We start from the raw sequence: 12,197 nt of genomic DNA, 5'->3' as shown, positions 1-12,197 counted from the left end.
TGAAGGTTTGGGTTACTTAACTCCACCAGCTAAAGAACCAAGAGCAGCTGAGGTTCAACCTGAAAGTGAGTTAAGTACAGAATAGGCAGTGAAGGGAGGAAGGCACAGATACCAATGATGGCTTACGAGCAATTACAGAAATAACAATGGTAGTAGATTTGCATATTTTCTATTGTTTCTCATATGGATGTGTTAATTTGTATAGGCCAAGCATTTTTTTTCCTGTTTTTACCTTATTCACAAGTTATTACATGTTAGGTTTTATAATTCAGTCTTTAGGTAACAAACTGTGACTGAATTTCTGGGGTGATTATATAGCCAGTGATGAATACAATGACCCTTGGGGCTGTTCATCTCCTCAGTTTAGAGAGAGGATGAACACTTCTTCACTTGCAAGAAAGAAAGCTGTATCTTGTTAAGCAGAAATACAGAGTTGCGTTGCCATTGTACCGGACAAATGCGTGCAGAAGAGTACATATGGAAGGTGAGTAGTCAAAGGGTTGGGATGATCTGTGCGGATGACTGACTTATTTCCTCTAGCTCCAATTTTACCCTTTTGGATTGCTCTGTGAAAAAAAATGGACTTAGGCCCTTTATAGGTTTTTTTCCTTCGCCAGCTAGCACTGACATTTTGTAAATAGAAGGTGCAAGAGGAGAGGTTTGGTTTCTTAGTTCTGGTCTGCTGTCTCCTGCAGCACAGCAGCTTTGCCAGCAACAAGGCACCTACAATGCTCACCTCGCCAGTGGTTGGCAGCATCTACCAGCATGCCCTCTGGTAGCTCCGTAGCGAGTGCCTCCCATGAGACACCTCTCCTGTGCCCTGCCTTCACTGGTATCTTAGAGGGTGGATTTCCTGCACTCCTACTGGCATGGCACCATAGTGAGAGGAAGGGGGTTCTTTCTTGGGCATGCTATGTCAGTCCTCACTGAGTTACTTCCCCTTGTATCTGCTACTGCTACTCCAATTCCTTGTTAAAGTCTTGTATACTACATTTTTCCTGTTAGCAAATTACTGCGTAGTTTCTCCTGACTGGACTCGGATTAACACAATACCATCTACTAAACTGTCCAGGTAAGTTTCCATCACACTCTCTCCCTCATCCTGCCTAACAAATTGGTTCAAACTGGTTATCAATTTTTGTTGATTCCAAGTCCTATGTCTCCATGGAATTAGATTATTTCCATCTACTGTCTTGGTTTGGAGCTTTGAAATAATTACTGGCTACTGCAACAACTATCTACTGGTTTTGCTATCTTCAGTGTCTTTTCTCTATCTCCTGCTGCCAATGTTTTCTATCCTATTTTCAATCTATAATCAAGATGATTTTTCTAAAACATAAATCCAAACCATGTCATTCCCTTGCTTCACTTTAATCCCATATTTTAAGAATAAAGTTCAAATTCCCAAGCTCTTCATGACTCAGCACCGACCTTGTTTTCTAGCATCTTTATCCAGGTGATCTTTCACTACCACCACCACGGCTGCCCCCACCAAAACTGTTTTTCTTGACTCATTCTATGGAATGACTTGCCATTCCTCCAGTATAGTTTTAAGAGTCTGTCATACATCTAGGCCCTTCTACGTGCTGTTCCCTAATCAAGAAGACTATACCCTCCAATCTGAGTAACTCCCTCTTGGCAGGATTATGTGTAAAGTAATCAGACTAATATCACCACTGATCTGCACAGTGGTCCTGCACTTTCAAGGCACATGCACTCATTTAACCACAGCATGTGTACGTCTATTGGAGAGCACAGCCTCCCCTGTCCTGATCTACGTCAGGGCTCTTTCAGTAGAATCATGTCATGGATGTGCGTGTCCCTCAATGAGGAATATAAACAGATTTAATTTTCTCTTACCTCCAGAAAGGTCCATCTTATTGCTTTGTACATTTTCCTCTGGTGAGTCTCTCTGAAGAAAGAAAATGCAGCATGTTAGCAGACCTTAATTTATCAATGAAAACAAATAAAAAATGAAGAATTTTACTGTGTTTCATTATCTGTGAAATTCAAGTGGATCATAAAGCTTCATTTTTCACTGCCTAATGTAATTTTTAAAATGTTTTAAAATAAGACATGTGATTGAAGTTTTTAGCTAAAACCATAAAAATGAAGGTTTGGAGGCCGATTTTACTCTAACATCAAGTACATTCCTAAGGACTCGAAGATGAAAAATAATTCTTAAAAAGAGTGAAATCAAGATAAATCATGGACCACCATTAAAAGAGGAAGGAGCTGCTAAGAAAACATACTTACCGAAAAACTGATGTTTGAAAACTGTTTAACAAATGGATTTATCCACGCTTCTTCTTGTTTGTTTCCACCTTTCATCATTCCCTTTGTAAAATAAAAGAGTAGAAAAGATGCCATGGCCATCTCTGTTTATCTGGGTATAGTGACGGATTAATAAAACTTAAGACAATCCCCAATTCTCATTTTTAGCCAATAATTTCTCCTCCAATCAACTCTTATCAGAGTTGTTAATAATTAAAAATCAACTTATTTGATTTTCAACTTCCTTTGCTCCAGTCCTCTGGTATAGCTGTAATGTACAGAGAAATCTCTAAAGGCAAGCAGTCAGAAGGAAAAGACGGAAGCAAAAGGCCTCGATGACCCACAAATATGAAAACAGGGCCTCTGAGTAACGGAGAACTGTAAGATTAGTTATAATTTAGATTTCTGGAATTCTCACTCCAAACCAAAGTAAAAAAATAGTGACTAGGTTCTAAGGTTAGTCCAAAGAAGCCAACTTAACCCCTAATTTAATTATGCTATATGCATCCTACTGAAAAAACACCATGTGTTTTCCACATGAAAAAGTATTTTAAAATTTCAATTTGTGTTGCCAAGAACACAACATCTCTAGCAGAAGTTGAACCTGGGATTCCTCCTGCTTAGGGCTGGCTCTCTGCGGCTGGTTGGGGTATGGGTGGTACGCAAACTCCATTGAGACATGAGTTAAGAGGATGGAGGGTCTGTGATCAGCAGTCTGGTAGACAAGGAGGCTGGAAGCCATAGAGATCTATGTCTCTCATTATGGTCTCACTGGACCATTCTCAGTCTGTTGCCTTCATTACTTCATTACCCCTTCCCATTGCTACTGTCCATTCCTTCTGACTGTGGAACAGAACACAGCTTCACAACTTCCCCCCAAATGCAGGTCTCTGAAGCAAGCATCTAACTCTCTCCGCAGATTCTGAAGTTGGCTTTGATCCCTTTTCCTTTCACCCCATCCATCCCCATACCTAACTAGTTGCCAAGTTCTTCTGTCCTTTCTATTCTGACTGAAATGCCTCTCAAATTAGTCCCTTCCACTATATATCCATTCTTATTTCCCAACTCAAGCTGTCCTTTCTAGCTTGAATTAACGCAGATGCTCCCTGAGATCCCTAACTGTGGTCTCCCCTCTGCACCAATTTATATTTCATACTATCACTGATTAGCTTTCTTTTAAAATTAGTAATTTAAAAACCCCACTGATGTTGTTTTCTACTCAATTTCGTTGGTTCCATATTTTACACAAAATAAAGTTCAAATTCCTTGGCATGCTACTGAAGACACTACAATCTGCCTCAACTACAGAGCCAGATCTCTTGTCACTTCTTCCTAAAAATTCTACATTTTGGTTATGTTGGGCTACTATCTTCCTTAACACATCCCATCCCAAGCATCTTCCAAATTCAAGCTGACACTTCTATGAAGCTCTCCTAATGCCCCATACTAGACTGTGAGCTCCCGAAAGGTGAAACTCATATCTTAGTGTATTTGAATCCCCAGCACCAAGCACAGTACCTGGCACACAGCAGAGGCTAAATAAATGTTTGCAGTTGCTTTCTAAAGATTTTTACTAGTAGAAACAAAGGAGAAAGAGTAAAAAGGCTACACACCCTTTCCCTTCTCCTTTTTTTGCCACTCAGACCCTGTAAGGAAAGACAAAGTCACAAAACAGCATGGTCCAGTGGGAAGAACATGGGGTTTGGAACTGGAAGACCTAAACTTAAGTCCTTACTCTGTCGCTTACTAGTTATCGCAACTTTGGGCAAGTCACCACCTTTTCCAGTCTCAAATTCATCAGTGTCCTATCTTAGATGGTTGTGAGGATCAAATGACTTATGTAAAACATGTAAAAGCACTTCATAAGCTATATGGCAAGGCAATAGGCAAATTCAGCCAAATGAAAAATTTTAAAAATGAAAATGGCAGGTCCTAGACTTAGAATCCCAGGATTAAAAGTGAGGAACCTTGGCAGTTACCTAGTCCAGCTATCCACTGGTATCTGACTTCTAAGGTCCCTCAAAAGGTAATCATTCTCAAGTAGGGTGGGTTAGGATGTTATGTTAGAACCACCTGGGGGACTGGGCACATATTTTGAAAATGGTCCCCAGGAGGATCTGACAGCAGCCCCCAGTGCCACCTCTTAAGAACCAGTGCTCTAAATCAGTGCTTCCCAAACCTGGCTCTGCATCAGAGACATTTGAGGAGTTTCTTTAGGATAAGAAACTTGGTCCAATTTCCAAAACTTCAGTAGACCTGAGGTACAGGAAGCTGCATTTTTAACAAATGCCATGGGATTTCGATGTACAGCCAGCTTTAGGAATATGATTTGTCCACACATAAAAGCAAAACCAAGCTCAGATCATTCCTAGGGATTTTTGTCACAGGACCTTTTGGGATGGGATAGGGACAAACATGACAGGTGAATAAGGAGGATGGTGACTCTGGGTAAGCGGGTGGCGGGGGACTCCAGGTGAGGAAATGAAATGGGAGATGAACTGGCAGTGGGATGGAAAGAGTCAACATGGAGATTTGCCCTCCTCTTCATCCTCACCACTGCAGGCACCACCCTAGGATGAGGGGTTGTCCCAGGCAGCACTGGTGGAGGGGGAGGAAGAGAGAAATCCCAAGCTGTAGCAGTGGGGAGAAAGGAAGTTCCTGTGGTCTTTCTTATGTTTCTCTAGGTGGCTGCCCATACAAGTGGCTATACCTAAGGTGGGGGCTGCCTGGACTGTACTGACCGCCAGAAATGGGCAGGCGAAAAGTTAATTTTCTGTGGGTAAACTACCTTTGGAATTTAAAGTTTCAAGGGCTTTGCCCTTGAAATGTTTACCTTCGATGACATTTTCTTTGTATATGGTGGCCAATTTAAAGATGAGTTAAGCTCTTGAGATGAATTACTATTCCACATTCCAATCTCCACATCCTCTTCCTCTTCCCAGCCAGTGGGGCGATTTCCAGGCAATGGCATATCATCACCACACCAGCCATCTTGCATAGATTTTGGCCCTGATTGTGGATTTGTGATATAAAGAGAAACATACTTTAATAAAAGAATTCCTTCTGGAGAATAAGTATATATTAAAAATTGGGTAGAGAACCTAAGAAAACACACACGTGCACACTTATTTCCCTTCCTGCATCTGCACAGAAGGAAAGTATGTTTTATACTGAGCTAAACCTTCCATGAAAAATAATATATTCTTATTTAAAAATTTAATAAAACTCCTCCATGCCTTTAACAAATCATAGTTCTTGAACATGGACAATGGTAGCACTCTTGTTTGTACCCACTTAATAATCTGCATAGTGATGCACAGGACAAAGAAGATGAATGAAATTTGAAAGAATTAATTTTTATATATATTTTTAGGGAGAATGGCCAGAGAGTATTCAAAGCCTTAAGCAGAAAGCATCTTATCTTCACACATGGCCCTTGGGATTCCTACCGGGCATCTTGTACACAGCCTATGGGATAATGACAATGTTAATTTCAATCTTGGGTCTTTTCTGAACTATGCTAATTGTAACTTTCAGGGAATCATCTGACAGTCTGAATATGTGTCCTCATGGCTACACTAGTTGGCCTCTCAGGCTGGATGGCATGAAAGTTGCTAGTAGACTCTTCCTAGATAACCTAATTTGGTAAAATATAATTTAGATTTGATGAAGTATATGCAAATGAATAGTTACAGTTCTAAGAAATATGAGAAAAGAGGAAAATTCAGAAAGAGAATAAACCACGTTACAAAATCAAAGAGCAAAATACTGAACATCATCTATCATGTTACATTATATGAATATATTATAAATAACATAGAAACCTTATCTAATTATTTAATTATAGTCAGTGAGTGTTCGCCACTGCTACATAACAGCTACCAGGCATTGTCAATAACTTACCAGATTTGCTTAATGCTTGTGGACCAACAGAGCTGGAGCCCCACGTGGATGTGCTGGATGCCGCAGCAATGGGTTCCCCCCAGCTGGGACCACTGTCTATGGGCTTACCCCATGCTGAAGTACCATTATCCACAGTTGTGGCTGGAGTAGAAGGCTCCCCCCAGGGCTCACCCCAGCCTTTAGAAAGTGTGGGAAAAGAAGTCATCAGCATAGAAGGTAAGGAGGTGCAGTGGAATAAGGGACAATAAAGAAAACTTAGGGACCAAGGATGAAGAACTTCATGTTTATGTACTGAATAATGATACTGTGATAGGCAAAAAGATGGCATCTGTTTTATGTTAAAAAAAGACAAACTATTTCCCATTAATATAAGGTGAGAATTTTTTTAACTTTTTTCATAATTACCCTCTAGACCTAGAGCTGATTTTTGCATAGTTATGGAAAACCACTCTCCTTTGAGCATCAGTTTAATTCCTGAAAAAGTCAAGTCATTCTAAACCAAACCTTGTAAATTGGAGCAGGTGATAAGCTGGGTGACAGTGTATGTATAACATCTGTACCAGCTGGGTACAGTGGCTGATGCCTGTAATCCCAGCACTTTGGGAGGCTGAGGCAGGTGGATCACCTGAGGTCAGGATTTTGAGACCAGCCTGGGCAACATGGCAAAACCTGGTCTCTACTAAAAATACAAAGATTAGCTGGGCGTGGTGGCACACACCTGTAGTCCCAGCTACTCAGGAGGCTGAGACAGGAGAATTGCTTGAACCTGGGAGGTGGAGGCTGCAGTGAACCGAGATCATGCCACTGCACTTCAGCCTGGGTGACGGAGAAAGCCTCCATCTCCAAAAAAAAAAAAAAAAAAAATTGTGCCACAAGTGTACCCCTTCCACACCACCTACACTGGAAAAACAATTTACTACCCAGCTAACAATAATGGGTCACCTACTTTTTACATATGCTGAACAATGCTTATTTTAAAATCTGAAGTATTAGGCTGAGGTTGTCCAAAGCAAAAAAAAAAAAAAAAAAAAAAAAAGCCATAAATGTTTCATTAAAAAAAATCAAAGCCAACAGGCTTCATCTTAGATACATACTTCTTCCTTTTAAGAATCAAACCTAAATTAATACAACAAACTATACTTAGACTAAAAAAAAAAAATTCAGTGCCAAAAAGTTAGCTCATGAAAGCACTCCCATATCCACTTCCAATGAGACTATTAAGTCAATAAAACTTTTATTAACAAAGACAATGTAGCCAATCACACTTAACAAAAATGTTGTTGGGAAAATTTGCAGAGATAGGAATTAGTTCATTATTAGAGAGGAAAGTAAGGATATACTAGAAAGGTATTGTCAAATGTTTTAAATACACAAACATATATACTGTATCTAAGTAGAGTTGGATTTCTCACCTACTTAAAAAAAAAAATCCCTTCTAAAGCCAAATATACAACCTAATGTTTAGAGAGTACTGTATTTATGAGATACTTGTTTTATTTCTGGAGATATTTTAGTCAAATAATAAAACCACAAGTTAAGGCCTAACTCAAAAACAACTTGGAGAAGTGTACAGCATTCCCACTTGACCGCCTTTGTCCAATTCGCCTTCTCTTGCATTTCTAATAGAGAATGAAGTGTGCAGGACTCAAACAACACTGCCAAAAGTGGAGTTCTGTTCTCTGGTGGTAAACATCACCCCTATAATTTTTTTCAAGCTGCTTCTGGATTACAGTAAGAACAGCCTTTGTGTGCATATCCAAGTACTTTGTTATACAAATCTTATAATAACAGTAAGTTAAAACAAGGCTTGATTTCATAAAATAGAAACTTACCAGAGCCACTGCTTGCCTCTTTGTTTGAGATGGCACTTGCAGGCGTTAGCAGCTGATGTACCTGTGCTTGCTGGTCTGAACGGCTGTTGCCATTTGGGACGTTTTTGTTCCACATGTTCACATTTTTGTAGTTGTATTTGCTTGGATCTCCCCAAGCTGAAGTTCCATCATCAATCTCCATTTTGCGACGTATAGATTCTGGGGATGGTTCCTCCCAGCCTGTGGGTTCTTCTTCTTTTGCTGGGGCTGGTATAGGTCCCCCCAGCCAGCCTGTACCAGGAGGTTTGCCTGTAGCTGGTGGGATTCCCCAAGATCCAACAATGTCTTGTTGCTTGTTCCAGTCTGGAGAGCTGACTGGCTTTGACGAATCTCCCCAACCTAGAGACTGATTAGACTTTGGAGGGTCTCCCCATCCCTGGGAAGGAGTAGGTTTAGAAGATTCATCCCATCCTGATGAATTATTTGGATTTATGTTGTTTCCCCAAGTGAAAGAACTAGTTTTACCAAGTTCGTTCCAACCGGAAACGGACCTGTCACTGTCACTACCTCCTGAGCTGGATTTCTTATTGGCCTCACCCCAATGGTTATTCCTTGAAGTTTCTCCCCAGTTATCACTGGCAGAAACAGACCACCCTTGGCTTGATTTTTGTCCATCACCCCATCCCTGTTTATTCTTTTGCGAGTCATTCCATGCAGCCTTCTCCTCTTTGCAATTCCCCCACTGATTGCTCTTGACCATTCCTGTAGCAGCAGAATCATCTTCCCACCCCCCCTGGCAGTTTGAGCCTTTGGAATCTCCCCACCTCAGAGCAGGTTTGGGATCGCCCCACCCTGATACAGATGAGGTATCATTACCATTAGGGCTAGTCTTATCTATACATGCCCCTGAGTTAAAAGTCTGTGTTGCAGAGCTTCCCCAGGCCTCTGTCCCATTGTCAGTCTTTCGTTCCCCTCTAGGTGATGTTTCTGTATCCCAGGCAGTATTCTGCTTAATAGGAGTCTGTCCCCAACCAGAGTTGGACAGGACACGTGGATCTAAGTCAGTTCTGTTTACAATGCTTTGGAGTAATGTGTGCTGATCAATTTTTCTTCTGTCTCTACTCTGACTTTCCCCAGTTCCTTTTTCCTCAAGGCGTCCAGTGCTTTCTGTACTACCATCGCTCTCCACTGTACCTCCTGTTTTGGCCCACACACTGCTTTGCTCATTTGTCTGAGATGTGGCAGAACCCTGATCCTCTTCCTCAGTAGATTTCCATCCATTTGTAAACGTCTTACCATTGCCATTTGCACTATCATTGGAATGCTGATTGCTAGGCAGTTTGTTCCACTCAACGCTGGGTAAATTAGTGCCAGTGTTTTGTGCAGGGGTTCCCCATCCTCTTCGACTTCCTCCAGAATTTGCGCCATTTCCACTTCCCCATGATGTACTCTGGGAGTTTGCTGCACCAGATTCCCACACACCACCTCCTTTGTTTGTGTTAACTTGAAAGTTAGTGCCCATAGGACCATTTACGCCAGGCTGCATTAGAGTTGCATTCACAGTGTCACCATTAGCTTGGCCATTAGGGCCTGAACATTTGTCTCCAGAGTAATTAGAACCATAGGCACCCCATGTAGTACCATAAGAGCCTCCACTTTTTGACTCTCCATTGCTAAGGTGAGAAAGGGAAGTGCCATTCATACCTGATGGAGCCTGCATCTGAGGATGATTCATTGTGCTCACACGCCAGGCCCCTGTGTTACTACTAGGCAGCTCATTATTCTGCACTGAACCGGAGTTTGGTAAACTAGAGGTCATAAAGTTAGTAGTGTTATTTGGTCCAGTCATTTCAGTGGTAATATTTTGAGGTTGACCACTGAATGAAACCTTCTGTGTACCACTTACTTCAGATTCACAAGTTTCCTGAAGGCTTCCCCAGGTACCATGGGTAGAACCACCACTCACTTTAGAGTTAATACTCTGATTGTTAGGCATCTGGCCTATAGTACTGCACTGAATATTAATGCCAGAACTACCACTCCCTACAGGCCCTTTTAGGGCAAGTCCATTGTTCTCTAATACTGGCCAGGCACCATGGTTGCTAGCTGAATTCAAAGTGCTTGGATTTAACCCTCCATTTGATGAAGAACTTACAGTGCCCCAAGCATTCATTCTATTGTTGCTACTTTCAGATTTGCTTTCAGGAGCATCCACAGAGACCTGACATGTGCTTATTATGGCTCCATGGGAAAAACCCCATGGCCCAGTACTACTTCCATGGCCCACATTATTGCTGCTGCTACCAACTACAAACTTGTTTTGGGAACCAAGTCCAGTGCTATTCCGAAGGCCATCTTTTTCACCACCTGTGTTCCCTGAAGCCATGATAGTGATGTTTCTCTCTGATTCAGAACTGGAGGCAGAATCAGCATCCATACATTCTGAAGCCAACTCCGGATCACTGCCAGGGGCTGAGGGCCATGCTTCTTTTTCCGACAAGTCACTTACAACAGCATTCTTACAGTTTGTGCTAGAATCACTTGTAGAAGACACAGGTCCCCGCTGGGAATTTTCATAATGGGATCCTGAAGTACTGTGGTTTATATCTAGGATAAAGGAGAAGTACAACTATTTATAAAGTGTTAGGCCATTTCAAAATGATACTAAAATCTAAGAAAAATGACGAATATGTTATAAATATATGTGGCTCCTCAATTTAACAAGCTATGATCCTTGGCAGAATGGTGACAAGGGCACTGGTTATCTTCTAGCCACCAACTTTCTATGTTCAACTGATACTATCCTAAGATCCTAGAGGACATAACAGCCCCTTGATAAATACTTGCTGAATGAATACATTGTTAACATATCGGTAAATAAAAGAATTTTGGGCCGGGCGTGGTGGCTCACGCTTGTAATCCCAGCACTCTGGAAGGCCGAGGTGGGTGGATCACGAGGTCAGGAGATCAAGAACATCCTGGCTAACATGGTGAAACCCCATCTCTACCAAAAATACAAAAAATTAGCCGGGCATGGTGGTGGGCGCCTGTAGTCCCAGCTACTCGGGAGGCTGAGGCAGGAGAATGGCATGAACCCGGGAGGCGGAGCTTGCAGTGAGCGGAGATAGTGCCACTGCACTCCAGCCTGGGTGACAGAGCGAGACTCCGTCTCAAAAAAAAAAAAAAAAAAGAATTTTGGAGTCAAGAAGGTCTAGGAGGCAGCTACGCATTAGGATAACGGAACAACCCAGGCATAGAAGCCTGACATGGAAAGACAGGTAAGGAGAAGTGAATAGCCAAAATTTGATAAAATGTATCAGAAATATTTTTCCACCCTCTGTTTTCTAGTATAGCTTTTCCACACAACTGTTTTGAGTATTGTAACAAGTTTATAAAAATTTATAAGAATGGTAAGAATTGGAAAGCTTTTATCATTACATTCTATTTCATTAGTGTCCGTATTCAACCTGAAATATTACAGCCAAGTAACAGTATTTTCAGTTCAACTTCCTCTCATAAAATTTTCTTAATTTACCTTCCTAACCACATTTATATAAAAGAACAGAAAAGTAATGGTTAGTTATGTTGAAGATCACAGAATTATTATGATCTCAAAAAATCAAATGCTGACACTGGAGATGTTTAATGACCAGTCATACAATCCTATAATCTTGGACTTCCTGCTATGTATTACTATTTAGTTATTTTACCACAGGTAGGGCAGTTCTAGTGCTTCTGAATAGTTCCCCAGATTCTTAACTCTCACTTGGTCTAAGGATCTGGTAGGCAGACACTCCTCAGGGCCATTAACCTGCATAAGTCACGTGCATTCTGACTGTCTTGAGGAGGTACATTATATTGCAGTTTTCTACTAGAGTACAAATCAGAATCACACGTAGTGCTTTTAAGTATATATCTTCAAGGCAGTGTCCCAGACCTAATGAGCCAACCTTCAGGGGTTGTAGGCCTAGGAGATAAAAAGAAGTCACTATTAAGGTGATTTGCTAAAATGGAAAATCAGATTCAATTTGCATCATTTGCTCTCAAAGCACAATCATTAAGAAGCAAAAGAAGATCTGGAAACAGTCTGGAAAAGTGACTGGAGAGAGACCGGAAATGATATAAATGCATCAAATAATATACTTCAAAGTTCCATAAGTGACTCTAATTTCCACTCCCTGTTTAAGAATCATTTCTTTAATGATTCCT

The 12,197-nt window shown here is 41.2% G+C and overlaps 1 protein-coding gene across 49 annotated transcripts in view; it reads right to left on the bottom strand.

Moving 5' to 3' along the window:
* TNRC6A (trinucleotide repeat containing adaptor 6A) overlaps positions 1-12,197 on the bottom strand; it is a 216,014-nt gene that overhangs the window by 26,392 nt on the left and 177,425 nt on the right. For 21 of the 49 annotated variants that reach the window (XM_024450231.2, XM_017023145.3, NM_001351850.2 and 18 more), the window contains 6 exons: positions 8,010-10,595; positions 6,178-6,354; positions 5,108-5,283; positions 3,888-3,920; positions 2,257-2,337; positions 1,861-1,912 (listed from right to left, as the gene is read on the bottom strand). In XM_024450231.2, coding sequence (XP_024305999.1) covers positions 1,861-1,912; positions 2,257-2,337; positions 3,888-3,920; positions 5,108-5,283; positions 6,178-6,354; positions 8,010-10,595 — 3,105 coding nt within the window. The remainder of the gene's footprint in view (positions 1-1,860; positions 1,913-2,256; positions 2,338-3,887; positions 3,921-5,107; positions 5,284-6,177; positions 6,355-8,009; positions 10,596-12,197) is intronic. The other 28 variants (XM_017023148.3, XM_024450233.2, XM_047433924.1 and 25 more) reach the window with 3 other exon arrangements.

Source organism: Homo sapiens, chromosome 16 (assembly GCF_000001405.40).
Source record: "Homo sapiens chromosome 16, GRCh38.p14 Primary Assembly".
Lineage (NCBI taxonomy): Eukaryota > Metazoa > Chordata > Mammalia > Primates > Hominidae > Homo > Homo sapiens.
Note: the sequence above shows the minus strand (reverse complement) of the source record. Positions and strands in the feature narration are given on the sequence as shown.